The 20048-nt window shown below is 44.7% G+C and overlaps 1 protein-coding gene and 1 long non-coding RNA gene across 6 annotated transcripts in view; one reads left to right on the forward strand and one right to left on the reverse strand.

Annotated features, from left to right (window-relative positions):
- The first annotated feature begins 424 nt into the window (after positions 1 to 424).
- On the forward strand, positions 425 to 14761 carry LOC105377310 (uncharacterized). 3 transcript variants are annotated; one of them, XR_007058165.1, is made up of 4 exons: positions 972 to 1737; positions 5142 to 5482; positions 7733 to 10631; positions 11093 to 14761. It is a non-coding gene; the product is annotated as an uncharacterized LOC105377310 (long non-coding RNA). The 3 variants fall into 3 exon arrangements; XR_007058164.1 differs by lacking the exon at positions 5142 to 5482 and having other exon boundaries at positions 425 to 1737; XR_007058163.1 differs by lacking the exon at positions 972 to 1737 and having other exon boundaries at positions 4970 to 5482.
- The window catches only part of TMEM150C (transmembrane protein 150C), a 79078-nt gene continuing 73625 nt past the window's right edge, over positions 14596 to 20048 (reverse strand). For 2 of the 3 annotated variants that reach the window (NM_001353454.2, NM_001080506.3), the window contains exon 8: positions 14596 to 17139. In NM_001353454.2, the coding sequence (NP_001340383.1) occupies positions 16931 to 17139 (209 nt within the window). In that variant the 3' untranslated portion in view covers positions 14596 to 16930. The remainder of the gene's footprint in view (positions 17140 to 20048) is intronic. The other variant, NM_001353455.2, reaches the window with a different exon arrangement.

Consider the following 20048-nt stretch of genomic DNA (forward strand, 5'->3'; position numbering starts at 1 on the left):
GGTGCAACTTTTTTTAATGGGTGGTGCCAGTTGGTCCATACGAAATTCAAATCTGAAAAATATCTCAAACATCAGTCTTAGGTTTTATAACAGTGATGTTATCCACAGGGGCATTTGGGGGAAGTTACAAATCTTGTGACCAGTGGCTATGTGACTTCTGAGTAGTAAAGAGTTTTTTTTTTTTTTTTAGATGGAGTCTCACTCTATAGCCCAGGCTGGAGTGCTGTGGTGCCATCTCGGCTCACTGCAACCTTCACCTCCCAGGTTCAAGCAATTCTCTGCCTCAGCCTCCCGAGTAGCTGGGATTACAGGCACCCACAACCACACCCGGCTAATTTTTTTGTATTTTTAGTAGAGATGGGGTTTCACCATCTTGGCCAGGCTGGTTTTGAACTCCTGACCTCGTGATCCACCCACCTCAGCTTCCCAAAGTGCTGGGATTATAGGCATGAGCCACCGTGCCGGGCCAAGTAGTTTTAAACAGTCAAGTTATAAAACAATGACTGGTTAGAGTTTAACTCTGCCTACATCTTAGCAGAAGAAACAATGGCTGATTAGAGTTTGTGCCTACATCTTAGCAGAATTCAGGGCCCTATCACATTTCTAAGCTTGAGGCCTTTGGTTAGTTTTACAAAAGCAGTTTTGGTCCTGAGCAAGGAGGGGGTTAGTTATGAGAAGGAACTATTTTCATTTTTGTTTTAACATTAAACTATAAATTCGTAGGCCAGGCACGGTGGCTCACACCTGTAATCCCAGCACTTTGGGAGGCCAAGGTGGGAGGATCACTCAAGACCAGGAGTTCAAGACCAGCCTGGGTAATATGATGAAACCCCATCTATCAAAACAAAAGAAAACAAAACAAAAATTAGCTGGGCATGGTGGTTATGTGCCTGTAGTCCCAGCTACTCAGGAGGCTGAGACAGTAGGATTGCTTGAGGTTGGGAGGTCGAAGCTGCAGTGAGCCATGAGTGTGTCACTGCACTCCAGCCTGGGTGACAGAGTGAAACCCTGTCTCAAAAAATAAAAATAAAAGTAAATACAAAATTCCTCCTATAGTTAGCCTGGAATGAGCAAAGACAGCTTGTGAGGTTAGAAGGAAGATGGAGTCAGTTATGTTAGATTTCCCTCACTCATAATTTTTGCAAAAGTAGTTAGTCTTTCTTGATTAAGTCCTCCTGGTTGCTGTAAGCTTTTGCTTAGGTTCTAGAATTCTAAAAAAGTTGATTCTGGCAGTTTTTGCCAGTTTATTTATTGCTTTTTTGGAGGGACTTTTGATGTTCCTTATTCTTCCCTGTTCATGGATGTCACCCCTACATGCTTTTCTTACAATGTGACTTTTGCAGTCCTCTCACCAAGAGGTGGGGCCTATGTTCCATTCTATGAGACTGGGTGGGACTTACGACTGCTCCAACCAAACAAGGACAACAGAGGCCATGGTTTGTAACTTTCTAAGCTAGGTTATGATACAGCTTCTAGCTGACTCACTTTTTTCAAGAGCTGGGGTTAGACAATTGCTCTGGGGAAGTCAGCTACCACACTGTGAGAAGCCCAGATTCACCCATATGGAGAAAAACTAAGGCCTCAAGCTGACAGCCAGCCTTGACCTCCAGACACAAGAATAGGCTGGTCTTCAGATGCTTCCAGCGTCCAGCCTTCAAGCTCTCTAGTAGAGACCCCAGACTTCAGAGAAAAGCTGTCCCTGCTGTGCCCTGTCTGAATTCCTGACCCACAGAATCTGTGAGTATAATAAATGGTGGCTTTATGCCACTACATTTTGTGATAATCTGTTTGGCAGCCAACGTGAATCAAATAGTACTAAGCAGTGGACAGGATTTTTCATCCGTTTCAGCACAGCGAGGCTTTTAAAAGGCCTCTGCTGGGGTATGCAGTTAGGAACATCGAGATTGTCTCATCATTCCCCCGTCTCCTTCCAAGTGGTGGCATCTCTTATCTTCCTACATTTTGCAAGTGTCCCCATCTTCCCAGTCATACAGGCTTGAACCTTCAGAATGTCTTTGACGCTTTCTTCCCCTTCACCCTCCTCCACAGGCAGCAAGTCACACCTGTTGTCTTTTGCACAGTGCCTCTCAAATTCGTTTTCTTCCCATTCCTAGCAGCCTGTGCTTGAAGCTCCAGTAGTTATTCCTACAAAATAAAATGCCACAATAGAAAAAGACTGCTGATAATAAGCATAGTGCTTTCAGGCTTTATACTAGAAAAGGGTACTGCTTAAAGCCTTCCAAGGGCAAGTAATGATAATGCTTATGGATACGATAAGGAAGTCAAATGTATTTTGAGAAAGCTCTCTCCTAGGACAATGCAAAAAGCAAATCACCAGCTGGTCTCTATCTGGAGTACTTCTAGTCACTGAATCCACTTGTTGCTGTGTTTAGTCTAAGCCCTTTCCCCCCAGTGCTCTTAATTATCTCTGGCTACAAATCTAAATATAGTTTACAAAAATCTGGTCATCTTAGATGTTATTCTAATATTGACTGGTAAATAAATCTCTTAGTTCTGCTTTATACAGAAATATTCATTGAATACCTTACATCTTTTCTTTATTCTGACCCAGATAGCATTTGTGGGTGGAGTTGTTCTTGTTGCTGCTGCTGCTGCTGTTGTTGTTGTTGTTGTTGTTGTGATGGAGTCTCGCTCTGTCGCCCAGGCTGGAGCACAGTGGCACGACCTCGGCTCACCACAACCTCCACCTGAAGCAATTCTCCTGCCTCAGCCTCCCACGTAGTTGGGATTACAAGCGTGCACCACCATGCCTGGCTAATTTTTATATTTTTAGTAGAGATAAGGTTTCACCATGTTGGCCAGGCTGGTCTTGAACTCGTGACCTCAAGTGATCCACCCACCTCAGCCTTTCAAAGTGCTGGGATTACAGGCATGAGCCACCGTGCCTGGTCTGTGAGGAGAGTTTTTGATGAGTTAAATTTTAAAATCTGAGTATGACCTACAGAGTCAGCTCAGCTTCTTATTTTATTTATTTATTTATTTTTTGAGACAGGGTCTCACTTTTTCACCCAGGCTGGAGTGCAGTGGCACAATCTTGGCTCACTGCAACCTTGACCTCCCAGGCTCAAGCGATCCTCCTGCCTCAGCTTCCCAAGCAGCTGGGACTACAGGTGGGCACCACCATACCCAGCTAATTTTTTTTGTATTTTAATAGAGAGGGGGTTTTGCCATGTTGCCCAGGCTGGTCTCAAATTCCTGGGCTCGAATGATCCGCCTGCCTTGGCCTCCCAAAGTGCTGGCATTACAGGCAGGAGCTACTCTGTGCCCAGCAGCTTCTTGTCTTAAAAACATGAAACACATTTAATTTTTCTCAGGAAAGGACTTAGTTATCCTTAATATTTTATTTTGAAGCTACATGAGAGGCAATCAGGTACTAACACAGGGTTTGCATAAGGATATTTCAAGTCTTATTTAGAATTTGGGTATTTAACATGTACTAGTTGCTGCAGACATCATAAAAAATAACTATAATCGGCCGGGCGCGGTGGCTCACGCCTGTAATCCCAGCACTTTGGGAGGCCGAGGCGGGTGGATCATGAGGTCAAGAGATCGAGACCATCCTGGCTAACATGGTGAAACCCCGTCTCTACTAAAAATACAAAAATTACCCGGGTGCGGTGGCAGGCGCCTGTAGTCCCAGCTACTCGGGAGGCTGAGGCAGGAGAATGGCGTGAGTCTGGGAAGCAGAGCTTGTAGTGAGCCGAGATTGTGCCACTGCCCTCCAGCCTGGGCAACAGAGCAAGACTCCGTCTCAAAAAAAAACACACAAAAAAACAAAAACTGTAATCGAGAACTTCCTCAAGACCTACAAAGCTGTTTGATGGGACTAGCATGAGGACAATTGTATCCTCCGAAATTGATTACAATAGCACTGTTTCTTAAATGCCTTGAGTGACTGAGCAGCTCATATATAATAGACCAAATATTTAAAAAACATCTGGGGTTGGGGGTTGGCAGCTACCAGTCATTTATTTTAGAAATAGTAAGTACTTACCTATATGCCAAGCACTGGTTCTAAGTACTGGCTGCATATACGGCAGACACAAATCTCTGTCCTCCTGGAGTTTATATTTTAGCAGTAGAGAGAGTCAGATAATAACAAAATAATAAAATGTGTCAGTATTATGCACGTTAGAATTTTAACTGATTACAGGCTATGTTTAAAAAATGCTGTACCCAGGAGATCAAGGCTGCAGTGAGCTACGATGGTGCCACTGCACTCCAGCCTGGGTGAGCAAGATCCTGTTTAAAAAAAAAATGCTATACAGCAAAATAAAACGGAAAGAGGGATAGAGTGTACAGAGGTGGCCTTGCAGGGAATGAATTTCAGAGAGGTCAGGGGTGTCAGTGAGAATGTAACATTTGAGTAGGTGAAGAAGGTGAGAGATTTAAATATATAGGGGAAGATTTCCCAGGGCAGAGGTCACAGCAAGTGCAAAGGCCCTGTATTAGTTCCTTCTCACACTGCTATAAAGAATTGCCTGAGACTGGCTAATTTATAATGGAAATAGGTTTAATTGACTCACAGTTCCACACGGCAGGGAAGGCCTCAGGAAACTTACAATCATGGCAGAAGGGGAAGCAAATACATCCTTCTTCACATGGTAGCAGCAAGGAGAAGTGCAGAGCGAAGGTGGGGAAAAGCCCTTTATAAAACTATCAGATCTTGTGAGAACTCACTATCATGAGAACAGCATGAGAGTAACCACCCCCACTGAGAGACAGGACTAGCTGGATTTCCTAGGCCGACTAAGAATCCATAAGCCTAGCTGGGAAGGTGACCACATCCGCCTTTAAACACGGGGCTTGCAACTTAGCTCACACCTGACCAATCAGGTAGTAAAGAGAGCTCACTAAAATGCTAATTAGGCTAAAACAGGAGGTAAAGAAATAGCCAATCATCTATTGCCTGAGAGCACAGGGGGAGGGACAATGATTGGGATATAAACCCAGGCATTTGAGCCGGCAAAGGCAACCCCCTTTGGGTCCCCTCCTGTTGTATGGGAGCTCTGTTTTCATTCTATTAAATCTTACAACTGCATACTCTCTGGTCCGTGTTTGTTCTGGTTCGAACTGAGCTTTCGCTCGCCATCTACCACTGCTGATTGCTGTTGTTGCAGACACCACCACTGACTTCCACCCCTCCGGATCCAGCAGGGTATCTGCTGCACTTCAGATCCAGTGAGGCGGGGCCCATTGCTGCTCCCAATCGGGCTAGAGGCTCGCCGTTGTTCCTGACCAGGCTAAGTGCCTGGGGTTTGTCCTAATCAAGCTGAATAGAGCTACAACCCTCACTACATGGCCCAAGATTCCATTCCTTGGAATCTGAGGCCAAGAACCTCAGGTCAGAGAACAAGAGGCTTGCCGCCATCTTGGAAGTGGCCCGCCGCCATCTTGGGAGCTCTAAGAACAAGGACCCCCCAGTAACATATTGGCAACCCAGATGGGAATTTCCAAAGTGGTGAGTAATATGAGACCACTTTTGCTTGCTATTCTGTTCTATCCTTCCTTAGAATCAGAGGAAAATACCGGGCACCTGTTGGCGAGTTAAAAAACGATTAGCCTGGCTGCCGGACTTAAGACTCCGGTGTGAGGCTGTCTGGGAAAGGGCTTTCTAACAACCCCCAACCCTTCTGGGTTGGGGGCATTGGTCTACCTGGAACCAGCTTCCACTTTGAATTTTCCTGGGGAAGCCGAGGGCCAAGTAGAGGCAGAAAGCTGTTGTCCCGAACTCCCAGTTAAGATCATGGCGCAGCCAGAAGTCTTTTTTTTTTTTTTTTTTTTTTTTTTTTTTTTTGAGACGGAGTCTCGCTCTGTCGCCCAGGCTGGAGTGCAGTGGCGCGATCTCGGCTCACTGCAAGCTCCGCCTCCCGGGTTCACGCCATTCTCCTGCCTCAGCCTCCCGAGTAGCTGGGACTACAGGCGCCTGCTACCACGCCCGGCTAATTTTTTGTATTTTTAGTAGAGACGGGGTTTCACCGTGTTAGTCAGGATGGTCTCGATCTCCTGACCTCGTGATCCGCCCGCCTCGGCCTCCCAAAGTGCTGGGATTACAGGCGTGAGCCACCGCGCCCGGCCAGAAGTCTTTACTCAACAGTCATCCATGCGTGCGCACCTACCTTTCCTTCTGACCCATACCTCCTGGGTCCTGACCACCACTTTCTTGAAAGTGTAGCCCCAAAATTCTCCTTACCTCTGAATCTACTTCCTCCAATCCCTGCTTCCTAGGTACTAATGCTTCAGACTTTCACTTCCTCTCCCAAGCATTAGAGTGAGTTGTATCTCCAAAGGGATCTAGGGAAGCTCGATGCTGTGTCCTTAGGCATCTAGGCTATGAACCCAGGGAGTCTTGTCCCTGGTGCCCCTCCCAATTTAGGTATATAGCTCTCAACATGGGCAGTTATGTGAGACCCGTTCCCCACCACCCTTGCTAGGGCCCCAAGTTTGTAAATGGCTAGGAGGATTGCTCTCCCATTGTGTAAGATGCTCTCCTCCCCCAATTTCTACCCAGCTTACCCCCCTGCAATACAATCTCTAAGGCTTGGTTCCTTGGCCAGGGCCTTAGAACTGATGACCCAGTACTTTAACAACTGGAACTGGGTCTACGACAACATAATAGATCAGGATGAAGGCGAATTGAGTAAATTAAAAGGGAGGCGCATATTCCTATGGTGGTTGGGGGCAACGAGCGAACATCCTTCCGCTGTGTTCCCAAAATCTATCTACAAAGAAAAGGGAAGGAGAGAGAGAGAGACAGAGAGGAGAGAGAGAGAAAAAAAGAGAGATTCAGAGAGAGAGAGAGAGAGAAAGTCAAAGAGAAAGAAAGAGATCCCAGTAGTAGCAACTTCTTTGCTAACAAAAGAAAGTAGAAAATTAGCCTTTAGAGGAAACCTCATTGTGAGCACACCTCACAGTTCAGAACTATCCTAAGTAAAAAAAAAAGCAAAAAGGGTAGCTTACTAACTCAACAATCTTAAAGTATAGAGCTATTCTGTTTAAAAAAAGATAATTTAACATTAACCACTGAAAATTCCCTTAACCCAGCAGATTTCCTAACAGGGGATTTAAATCTTAATTACCATACAAAGGTCCAACCAGACCTAGGAGGAACCCCCTTTAGGACAGGAAGATAGATGGTTCCTCCCAGGTGATTGAGAAAAAAAACACAATGGGTATTCAGTAATTGAGGGAAACTCTTGTAGAAGCAGAGTTAGGAAAATTGCCTAATAATTGGGTCTGCTCAAACGTGGGAGCTGTTTGCACTCAGCCAAGCCTTAAAGTACTTACAGAATAAAAAAACTCTGTCTCAATCCTGACTCAAAAGATTATCCACACCCTCTCTGAAATGAATTTGCATAAGAACTGTTGTTTGTGGGAATGCATCTTGATGGGGGAACTGGGTTGTTAGGAAATACTCAGGAACCCAGCCCAGCTCTAGAACTCACCTCTGAGCGCAAAGGCAATGTTGGGCACACTGGTAAAGGACCACTAGAATCCAGCAGCCCAGAGCCCTTTCTTTGTGGTCAAGAAAGGCGGGAAAACAGGTGCAGGACTGCTACGTTGGTGAGCGTAACTAATCTGATAAGCAGAGGTCCATGGGTGGTTACGCACCCTGGAAAGGAATAAGCATTAGGACCATAGAGGACGCTCTAGGACTAATGCTCATCGGAAAATAACTAGGGGTGCTGGCATCCCTGTGTTATTTTTTCAGATGGGAAATGTTCCCCCTAAGGCAAAAACACCCCTAAGATGTATTCTGGAGAATTGGGACCAATTTGACCCTCAGATGCTAAGAAAGAAGTGACTTATATTCTTCTGCAGTACCGCCTGGCCATGATATCCTCTTCAAGGGAGAGAAACCTGGCCTCCTCAGGGAAGTATAAATTATAACACCATCTTACAGCTAGACCTCTTTTGTAGAAAAGAAGGCAAATGGAGTGAAGTGCCATATGTACAAACTTTCTTTTCATTAAGAGACAACTCGCAATTATGTAAAAAGTGTGATTTATGCCCTACAGGAAGCCCTCAGAGTCTACCTCCCTATCTACCTCCTTACCCCGGCATCCCCCCGCCCCCCCACTCCTTCCTCAACTAATAAGGACCCCCCCTTCAACCCAAACTATCCAAAAGGAGATAGACAAAGGGGCAAACAATGAACCAAAGAGTGCCAATATTCCCTGATTATGCCCCCTCCAAGCGGTGGGAGGAGGAGAATTTGGCCCAGCCAGAGTGCATGTACCTTTTTCTCTCTCAGACTTTAAAATAGACCTAGGTAAATTCTCAGATAACCCTGATGGCTATATTGATGTTTTACAAGGGTTAGGACAATCCTTTGATCTGACATGGAGAGATATGATGTTACTGCTAAATCAGACACTAACCCCAAATGAGAGAAGTGCCGCCATAAACTGCAGCCCGAGAGTTTGGTGATCTCTGGTATCTCAGTCAGGTCAATGATAGGATAGCAACAGAGGAAAGAGAACGATTCCCCACAGGCCAGCAGGCAGTTCCCAGTGTAGACCCTCACTGGGACACAGAATCAGAACATGGAGATTGGTGCCGCAGACATTTACTAACTTGCGTGCTAGAAGGACTAAGGAAAACTAGGAAGAAGCCTATGAATTATTCAATGATGTCCACTATAACACAGGGAAAGGAAGAAAATCCTACTGCCTTTCTGGAGAGACTAAGGGAGGCATTGAGAAAGCATACCTCTCTGTCACCTGTCTCTATTGAAGGCCAACTAATCTTAAAGGATAAGTTTGTCACTCAGCCAGCTGCAGACATTAGAAAAAAACTTCAAAAGTCCGCCTTAGGCCCAGAGCAAAACTTAGAAACCCTATTGAACTTGGCAACCTCGGTTTTTTATAATAGAATCAGGAGGAGCAGGTGGAACGTGGTAAACGAGATTAAAAAAAGGCCACCGCTTTAGTCATGGCCCTCAGGCAAGCGGACTTTGGAGCCTCTGGAAAAGGGAAAAGCTGGGCAAATCGAATGCCTAATAAGGCTTGCTTCCAGTGCGCTCTACAAGGACACTTTAAAAGAGATTGTCCAAATAGAAATAAGCCGCCCCCTCGTCCATGCCCCTTATGTCAGGGGAATCACTGGAAGGTCCACTGCCCCAGGGGACGAAGGTCCTCTGAGTCAGAAGCCACTAACCAGATGATCCAGCAGCAGGACTGAGGGTGCCCAGGGCAAGTGCCAGCCCATGCCATCACCCTCTCAGAGCCCCAGGTATGCTTGACCATTGAGGGCCAGGAAGTTAACTGTCTCCTGGACACTGGCACAGCCTTCTCAGTTTTACTCTCCTGTCCCGGACAACTGTCCTCCAGATCTGTCACTATCCGAGGGGTCCTAGGACGGCCAGTCACTAGATACTTCCCCCAGCCACTAAGTTGTGACTGAAGACCTTTACTCTTTTCACATGCCTTTCTAATTATGCCTGAAAGCCCCACTCCCTTGTTAGGGAGAGACATTCTAGCAAAAGCAGGGGCCATTATACACCTGAACGTAGGAGAAGGAACACCTGTTTGTTGTCCCCTGCTTGAGGAAGGAATTAATCCTAAAGTCTGGGCAACAGAAGGACAATATGGATGAGCAAAGAATGCCCATCCTGTTCAAGTTAAACTAAAGGATTCCACCTCCTTTCCCTACCAAAGGCAGTACCCCCTTAGACCCGAGGCCCAACAAGGACTCCAAAAGATTGTTAAGGACCTCTTGTTTCCAATCTGGAGATAATCCATACCCCAAACCTCACCTGTGTAAATGTTAGCAATTCTATAGACACAACCAACTCCCAATGCATCAGGTGGGTAACTCCTCCCACACAAATGGTCTGCCTACCCTCAGGAATATTTTTTGTCTGTAGTACCTCAGCCTATCATTGTTTAAATGGCTCTTCAGAATCTATGTGCTTCCTCTCATTCTTAGTGCCCCCATGACCATCTACACAGAACAAGATTTATACAATTATGTTGTACCTAAGCCCTGCACCAAAAGAGTACCCATTCTTCCTTTTGTTACCGGAGCAGGAGTGCTAGGCAGACTAGGTACTGGCATTGGTGGTATCACAACCTCTACTCAGTTCTACTATAAACTATCTCAAGAACTAAATGGTGACATGGAATGGGTCGCCAACTCACCAGTCACCTTGCAAGATCAACTTAACTTCCTAGCAGCAGTAGTCCTTCAAAATCAAAGAGTTTTAGACTTGCTAACTGCCGAAAGAGGGGAAACCTGTTTATTTTTAGGGGAAGAATGCTCTTATTATGTTAATCAATCCGGAATCGTCACCGAGAAAGTTAAAGAAATTCGAGATCGAATACAACGTAGAGCAGAGGAGCTTCAAAACACCAGACCCTGGGACCTCCTCAGCCAATGGGTGTCCTGGATTCTTCCTTTCTTAGGACCTCTAGCAGTTATAATATTGTTACTTCTCTTTGGACCCTGCATCTTTAACCTGCTTGTTAAGTTTGTCTCTTCCAGAATTGAAGCTGTAAAGCTACAAATGATTCTTCAAATGGAGCCCCAGAGGCAGTCCATGACTAAAATCTACTGCGGACCCTTAGACCGGCCTGCCAGCCCATGCTCCAATGTTGATGACATCCAAGGTACCCCTCCGGAGGAAATCTCAACTGCACAACTCCTACTGTGCCCCAATTCAGCAGGAAGCAGTTAGAGCGGTCATCGACAGACCTCCCCAACAGCACTTAGGTTTTCCTGATGAGAGGGGGAACTGAGAGACGGGACTAGTTGGATTTCCTAGGCCAACTAAGAATCCATAAGCCTAGCTGGGAAGGTGACAGCATCCACCTTTAAACACGGGGCTTGCAACTTAGCTCACACCAGACCAATCAGGTAGTAAAGAGAGCTCACTAAACTGCTAACTAGGCTAAAACAGGAGGTAAAGAAATAGCCAATCATCTATCTCCTGAGAGCACAGCGGGAGGGACAATGATCGGGATATAAACCCAGGCATTTAAGCCAGCAAAGGCAACCCTCTTTGGGTCCCCTCCCGTTGTATGGGAGCTCTGTTTTCACTCTATTAAATCTTGCAACTGTACACTCTCAGGTCTGTGTTTGTTCCGGTTCGAACTGAGCTTTCGCTCGCCATCCACCACTGCTGATTGCTGTCGTCGCAGATGCCGCCGCTGACTTCCACCCCTCCGGATCCGGCAGGATGTCCACTGCACTTCTGATCCAGTGAGGCAGCGCCCACTGCTGCTCCCAATCAGGCTAGAGGCTCACCATTGTTCCTGCGTCAGCTAAGTGCCTGGGGTTCATCCTAATCAAACTGAAGAGAGCTATAACACTCATTGCATGGCCCAAGATTCCATTCCTTGGAATCCGTGAGGCCAAGAACCCCAGGTCAGAGAACAAGAGGCTTGCTGCCATCTTGGAAGTGGCCTGCCACCATCTTGGGAGCTTTAAGAACAAGGACCCCCCAGTAACACCATGATTCAATTACCTCCCACTGGGTCCCTCCCATGACACATGGGAGTTATGGGAACTACAGTTCAAGATGAGATTTGGGTGGAAACACAGCCAGACCATATAAGGCCTGTGGCCACAGCATGTCTGACTGTTGGAAGAACACAAGGAGGCAGAGGGACGAACAGAGAGAAGGAAAGGTGTAAAGGCAGACCTTGTTAGGCCTTGTAAAGCATTTTAATGATTGGGGTTTTTAGTCTGAGTACAAGGAGTTCTGAGTGCTGAGTGATGAGTGCTGAAGGGTTTTAAGCAGAAGAGAGATGACGATGTAAGCTTTTTTTTTTTTTTTTTTTTAAGACAGGGTCTCACTCTGTTGCCCAGGCTACAGTGCAGTGGCACAATCTCAGGGCCCCCTGCAGCCTTGACCTCCCAGGCTCAGGTGATCTTCCCTCCTCAGCCTCCTGGGTAGCTGGGACTACAGGTGTGTGCCACCATGCCTGGCTAATTTCTTGTAGAGTCAGGGTATCACCATGTTGCCCAGGCTGGTCTTGAACTTCTGGGCTCAAGTGATCCTCCCTCCTGGGCCTCCCAAAGTGCTGGGATTACAGGCATGAGCCACGTCAGGCCTAATTTAGCTTTTAGAGAGATCATTTTGACTTCTGTATTAAGGACACACCTTAGCAAATGATGGAAGAAGAGAGACTAATTTTTATAAGTTATTATAAAAATCCAGGAGAGATAGCAGTGGTTTGGACTAGATAGTGGCAGTGGATGAATTCTAGTATACTTTAAAGGTAGAGCAGAAAGGATTTGGGGTGTGCGAGAGAGAAGAGATGAGGATTGCTCCAAAATTTCAGTGTGAGCAACTGAAAGACGGGTTGTCTCTAACTTGGGTGGAAGGAATGCATTTAAAGAGATTAGATCAGAATGTGTTAAACTTGGGAAGCCTTTCAAGTGAAGATGCTATAAGGGTAGTTGAAGACACAGATCTATGGTATTGAGGATAGAGGTCTGGCCTGGAGCACCTGGGAAATGTCAGCCCATGGCAATATTTAAAACTGGAATACCGGACAAGGTCACTCAGAGAGTGAGTGTGGGTAGGAAAGACGAGTTGCCAGGACGGAGCCATGGGGTACTCCAGTGTTGGGATGGCAGGGAGAATGTGGCCCAGCAGAGGAAGCTGGGTGGAGAGAGAAGCAGGAGGCAAATTAAAAGGGCACAATATTCTGAGAGCCAAGTAAAAATGTTTTAAGCAGAGAGGTGGCGAGGGGGGTGATCAAATTGTGAAGTGTTGCTTATCGATCTAGGTACGGTAAGAAAAGCACTGAGAATCAAATAGTGCCAACCCCACAGATGGTCTCTTTCCTCTCTTTCTGAATTATGATGGCTTCTCTAATGATTCTTTGGAACTTGCGCCTCAAAGGAATGACAATGACTAAAGAAGTTGAGGATCCTGTGGCGGTCACTGGGCTGTTCACAAACGCATCTCCCATTGTGGGCACATGGTAGGAGTGCCATGCTTAGAGAAGGCCACTCGGTTTCCTTTGCCAGTGAAATGTAAGCTAAGGAAAGTTTGCCATTCCTGGCAGGAGCTCTGAGAGCCAGGGAGCAGTCTGCCACATTTCCTTGGCAGTGAGCAACTGTGGAAGCATGTGCCGAGAGGAAACGTCTATCAGCCATGGTCGGAGTTGTTACAATGAGCAGAATCCCCTGCTGAACTTGGATAGACATCCAGTATGAGAAATAAACTTTAGTTTTATTAGTTTTATGTTGGGACAGCAAAACCTAAACTATCCTGAGGACGCAATGCCTAAATACAAAAATAATATAAACAGTGGTATCCAGTCTCCATTGATAACCAGTAGATTATACATTTCAGGATACGAAATTTTACTTTTCCACACCAGGGATAGAGAAAATCCAGCAAATAACATAGATGATAAAACTTGACCTCATTGTAAGTTCGCTTTTTTTTGTTTTTTTTTTTTTTTTTGGAATGGAGTCTCGCTCTTTCTCCCAGGCTGGAGTGATGTAGTAGTGTGATCCTGGTTCACCGCAACCTCCGCCTCCTGGGTTCAAGCAATTCTCCTGCCTCAGCCTCCCAAGTAGCTGGGATCACAGGCATGTACCACCACGCCCGGCTGATTTTTGTATGTTTTAGTAGAGACAGGGTTTCACCATGTTGACCAGGCTGGTCTTGAACTTGTGACCTCAGGTGATCTGCCTGCCTCGGTCTCCCAAAGTGCTAGTATTACAGGCGTGAGCCACCTTATGGGATCACTGTCTTATATTCAGTGTTCTTTTGACTGAAACATTGCTATGGGTGCATGGCTATATTTGGTCTTTGTCCCCAGTTCCTGCACAGAACTTCTAAAACCGTTGACGTTTACTGAGAGAGGTGTCTTTTGTTCTACATAATGAGCCCCTTTTGATCACACTTGAGTTTATGCTAATGAGGTTACTTAGGGTGGGGCCCCTGGATAGACTCAGGCTCAGGCTGGTCAGCAGAAACACCTCCTGACCTTTGAGCTTTGGGGAGAGAGGGCATCTGGAGATCCAGCTCCATAAAATAAACTCTTGAATGGTACGATTTGGACAGCTCCCAGGTAGATGAACACAGCGAGGTGCTGGGAGGATGATGCGCTCTGGGTGGGCGTGGAGCTCCATGCACCTCCCCATGCCTTGCCCTATGCTTCTTTTCAATTTGGCTCTTCCTAAGTTGTAGCCTTCATCATAAACCTGCAAATGTAAGGATTTTCCAGAGTTCTGTGAGCTGTTCTAGCAAATTATTTGAACCTTAAGCGGGCAGTGTGTGGGAGCCCCTTCGACTTTGTAGCCAATATGGACAGAAGTGAGGGTCACCGGTGGACCCAGTATCTGTGACTGGCAATGGAAGTGAGGCAGTCTTGTGGGACTCAGCCCTTAAACCTGTGGAACCTGACACTAACTCCGGGTAGTTAGTGTCACAATTGAATTGTAGATACTCAATTGGTGTCCGGAAGAATCAGAGAATTGGTTGATGGTGTTGGAAAACACCCTACCAATATAACACTTAAGTTCATTTTTAGCATAATATCTGACTGGGTTTTCAGATGTTTTAATATTAGAGAAGAAATGGTGGTGTAAGAGACAAAGAAATAACAATTATGCATAAAAGAATTTTATTTAGTGGCCAGATCCCAATGAATAATGTCAGTCATTGCTTGGTTCTGCTAAAATGTGGTATTAGATATATTCTTAAGAAAGTGTACAATTGCATCACCAAAAGCTGTTTAATTTGGATTGTGTAGAATAAAAGAAAACTACATAAGTCTTTGTTCTTTGATAAAAATTTTAAAATATAAAAATGAAAAAAAGAAACCCAAAAGCAGTATTCAAAACTAACAAATGTCACCTTGGACTATTTACAGTAAGACGCCTTTTTGACAGGAGAATCTTGTTCTCAGCTTGTTCTTTTCCTCACATTTTACTTACAGGGATTCTCACTCCCCCATCTGATCCCTATTCATAACTTCTTCCATTCCTGTCTCACATGAAACAGCCATCTTCCATGCTCTCTCACTCATCTTTGAGTCTCTCTCTGACACTCCTTTTTCCTACTCTTAAATTATTAATAATTCTATTCAACAGACATTTATTGAGCACCTAGTATGTGCCAGGCACTGTGTTAAGAGGTGGGGAACAATACAGAGATGAAAAGACATTGACCTTTTCCTCAAGAAATTCAGACTTTGGGTTGAATTAAAAAACGTTTTTCTTTTTTTCTTTTTTTTTTGAGATGGAGTTTTTAGCTCTTTTTGCCCAGGCTGGAGTGCAATGGCGTGATCTCGTCTCACCGCAACCTGCCTCCCGGGTTCAAGTGATTCTCCTGCCTCCGCCTCCTGAGTAGCCGGGATTACAGGCATGCGCCACCACACCAGGCTAATTTTGTATTTTTTTTAGTAGAGACGGGGTTTCTTCACATTGGTCAGGCTGGTCTCGAGCTCCCAACCTCAGGTGATCCGCCCGCCTCAGCCTCCCAAAGTGCTGGGATTACAGGTGTGAGCCCCACACCCAGCCTAAAAAATGTTTTTCATATTATATTCCAGGTAATCCCAGACCTCTATGGGGTAAATCTGGGGATTTCTTGGAAGAAAGTGCACTCATGGAGGGTCTGTCCACTTGGCTCACTCCAACAGTTTGAATTTGGAATTCTGCTTTTCTTCATGAAGCACAGTCTCATAAGCCCACACCTACGGTCTGAGTTCTGAACTCTCAGCAGGTGGGAACTGGGAACTGCGGGTTGGCTAGCAGGGGGGCCAGCTGTGTCAATTTGGTTTTTAGGAAGGGTATTCTTTTAATTGGCTTCTACAAATTCCAAATTTGAAAAGCCCTTAATCCAAAAAAAAAAAAAACCCTACTAAATTTGAGCAAAAGATACATATTAACAAAGTCTCCCCTGATTTGGACTTGCAACAAGATACTGTAAGGTGCCTATCTTTGATAAATGTCCAGCAGCAGCTCTTTTTATTACCTCTGCACATCCATATTTCTTTCCATTTTTCTGTGATATTTTCTTAGCTTCCCACGTAAGCCTGCAGGTGACCTCAGTTTTTCTTTGATCATGGTTGAACCCAAAGCAAGCTCAGCTCTTGCATTTGGTCTACATCTTTGTCCATGAGGCTTAGAGAGACTCATGGTAGTTACTTAAAAGAAACTATGAAATATAAAACATTGTACATGGCATACTATGAAAGCAAACACTAAACCATACCTTCACTGCCCCCATCTTGTTCCAGGCCTGATAGACCACGTCCCTACACATATTCACATTTGGAAATCATTCTCAGTCACAGTGCATCAAGTCCAGATCACAGCGGCGGGCTTTGCTCTCACAGTCTGTGGCATATGTCTCTCCTGGGATCCACACAGCCGACCACTGAACAACGATGAAGGGGGCTTTCGTGGGAAAGTTCTTCTCACTATGCCTTTCCACAGGCGACACAGGGTCACATCTCAATACAATTTCCGTCCTATTCTATGATACACTATTATCCACTCAAGAATATTAGTGCCAGATTCAGAACTTCCTCACGAGCTGGTTCCAAGCCCTTTGGACCTGAAGGCAACGTCGGGAGTTGGCATTACTCCCAAGGAACATTTGGCCTGCCCTACTCGGTAGGGTGCTTGAGACATGTGGAGAGAATGGGAAGAGGAGGGAGTGCTGGGAAGGGGACGGATAAGAAGTGATCATGCACAAGCTTCTTGCTCTGTCGTGCATATATTTTCAGTGTAACAGCGTGTATTTCGACACATAAGGGCTTGTGCTTTTTCATTAAAGAAATAACTCGCCCTGAAAAGCTCATTTGGCAAATGTGGCCATGAATGTGTGTGTGTGTGTGTGTGTGAAATGAGGTTCTATGTCAAGTCCTGTGAGTGTGTCCTACTGGCCCCTCCCCCACTGTCACACCCACCTCACCAGCAAGGAAAAACTGATGGTTTACACCTGGTCAGTCTGATATTCAGAAGCTTCTGACAGGCTTTCTGAGAAGCTTAGGAAATTCTCCTGGTACTCAGAGCAAACAATCTCATAGCGGTAATGCCGGAACTCCACGGCAAAGGTGCCAAAATAAGACAGGAAGCACATGACCAGGCCCCACTGGACCCTGGCTGCATACATGTGGATGCTTTGGGCCATGAGGATGAAGTCTGGGGAGAAGCAGTCAAGGAAAATACCCTCATCAGCCACATTAAAACTGGAATCTTTTCAGGGCAGAGACAGATTATAGGAAAAGTCTGGCTTTCCTCATCACTAGAAAAACTGGTAGCCTGCTAGAGCTTGTTGAACACGAAAATCTATATGAATAATAAGTTAACATTATTGGGCTCATATTTGGTGGTAGACATGCTTTTAGGTGCTTTCATGGATAGTATCACTTAATCCTCACAACAATCCTATTATCATTGTTTTTGTTTCTCATTTTTACATGTTCTATTTGCCCTTAAATACTCTCTTATCCAAATAATTGTCAGTTTGTTTAAAAATAGGGAAACTGAGACCAAATGGGTAAGTAACTTGCCTGAGGTCACACAGGTATTAATTGGCTGAGCTGGGCTCAAACAAGCACTCTAACTCCTGCGCCATGTATTCAATAGCTGTACTCTGTAGCTGCTTACAAAACTGGGAGATTAGGAAAAGGATTACACTTCCAAAGTAATTAGTTTGCCAGAAAAATTAAGCTATTTTAAAAAAAAATCACTGCAAATGGTGAGCCAAGACCGGCCACTGCACTCCAGGCTGGTGGACAGAGCGAGACTCCATCTTAAAAAAAAAAAAAAAAAAAAAAAAAAAAGAAGAAAGCACTGCAAATGACTATGAATTCATAGTTATCGTTATATCTGCAGAAATAATTTTGAACATATCAAATTACTAACTGCCGACATGTAAGTTGTGTTTGGCTCTGCAGTGCTACTAACCGTGTCTGAGTGGCTGGCCTGTCTCTTCTAATTTTCACTATTGTCTTTCAGACAATACTGTATAGACCAGTTTCATTCCTCGTATCACGTCTAAACTTGTATGATAAACAGATGAGGCCAGGTGGGGTAGCTCATGCCTGTAATCCCAGTGCTTTGGAATGCTGAGGTGGGAAGATCACTTGAGCCCAGGAGTTTGAGGCTGCAGTGAGCTACAATTGCACCACTGCTCTCTAGCTAGGGTGACGGCAAGGCCCCATCATTAAAAAAAGAAAAACAAATGAGACTCTTATGCCTGGATATATATATGGAGTGTGTGTATGTGTGTGTGTTGTGTGTATCTGTATCTGTATATACACAACAGAATAAATGGAAGGAGGAGCTGGGAAGAAGGGTAAAAAGTTCATAGCAGCTTTAGTGAAAGGCCAAGTGTCTGAGGAACTAGATGCATTTACTTAGAAAGATCAGAAATGTCTCCTTAGAATTAGTTCTATCTTCTGAAATTAGACCTGAAATCGGGAAATTTTCAGAGAGCAAGAATGTGAAATTACTTCAGCCAAACTTTGCTTTGCTAACTGGGCCTTCATCCATTCACCTGAGAACCAAAGAAAAAAAAAAGATTCCACGTGTTCAGAAAGAGCATGAATCAGAATCATTTGGTGAAAGCTCAAAACTTGGGATAGGCTGGACAAGGTGGCTCATGCCTGTAATCCCAACACTTTGGGAGGCCGAGGAGTGTGTATCACTTGAGCCCAGTAGTTCGAGACCAGCCTGGGCAACATGGCAAAACCACGTCTCTATTAAAACAACAAAAATTAGCCGGGTGTTTTGGTGTGTGCCTGTAATCCCAGCTACTCTCTAGGCTGAGATGGGAGGATGGCTTGAACCCAGGAGGTGGAGGTTGCAGTGAGCCAATATCATGCCCCTGCACTCCAGCCTAGGCAACAGAATGAGACCCTGTCTTAAATCACAAAAAACATCTCGGAGTGATTTAAAGTCTGCACACTCTTTTGAACAAGGATGCAAAATATTGCCAAAGCAATATTAACTTATTACTTAAATTAATGGAGAAAGCATATCTCCTTTTATCTTATATTGGCAGAGTTTTGATCTTTTTGTTCATAAAGTATTTATTAGGTTGCTAGCAAGAACCAAGTTTTTTGGCTTGAACTTAAGTCCTTAAATGTTCTCTATCTAATGTGACTGTAGAACTTTGGAAAATCAGCAAAATGGTGGAACAGGAATTTGTGAATGAAGAAAAAATAAATAGTCCAAATACTCCACTAACTAGAGAATGGGCTCTGAACTGTGTGTGTTTTCATATTTTATTCTTTCCCCCCCTCATCTTAGGGTCTGCTTCTATTCATATTTTAAAGCTACTTTCTCTCTCTTTCTTTGAATTGATATACTTTATTTCTTTCTAGCTATTTTGAACTTTTTATTTATATTTATTTATTTATTTATATTTCAATAGGATTTTGGGGAACAGGTGGTGTTTGGTTGCATGAATAAGTTCTTTAGTGATGATTTCTGGGATTTTGGTGCACCCACCACCCAAGCAGTGTATAGTGCACCCAATTTGTAGTCTTTTATCCCTCATCCCCCTCCCATCCTTTCCCCTGAGTCCCCAAAGTCCACTGTGTCATTCTTATGCCTTTGTGTCCTCACAGCTTAGCTCCCACTTATGAGTGAGAACACAGGATGTTTGGTTTTTCATTCCTGAGTTACTTCACTTAGAATAATGGTCTCCAATTCCAACCAGGTTGCTGCGAATGCCATTGTTTCATTCTAAAGCTACTTTCTCTAAGGTGGGGTCTGAAGTGGTTAAGAGTGAAGAGCTGAGCCTGAGTTTAAATCTCGATCCACCACGCATTATCTGTGTGATCTTGCGCAAATTAAACTTCTCCATGATTCACTGTTCTTACATGTGAAGTGAGGATAAAAAGAGTTGATACATTTAAAGTACTTAGAATAATGCCTAGCACGCTGTCTAAAAATTGGTGATTATTATGACTGAAGATGTGTAATTGCATTTTCTGTACAATCTACCCTTTAGGAACCTTGATTCCTTTCTCTGGTTTTCTGAGGAGGGCCTTACTGGAGTGAACACTTCTTTTATTTTTGCCTTTTATTTTATTTTATTT

Source organism: Homo sapiens, chromosome 4 (genome assembly GCF_000001405.40).
Source record: "Homo sapiens chromosome 4, GRCh38.p14 Primary Assembly".
Lineage (NCBI taxonomy): Eukaryota > Metazoa > Chordata > Mammalia > Primates > Hominidae > Homo > Homo sapiens.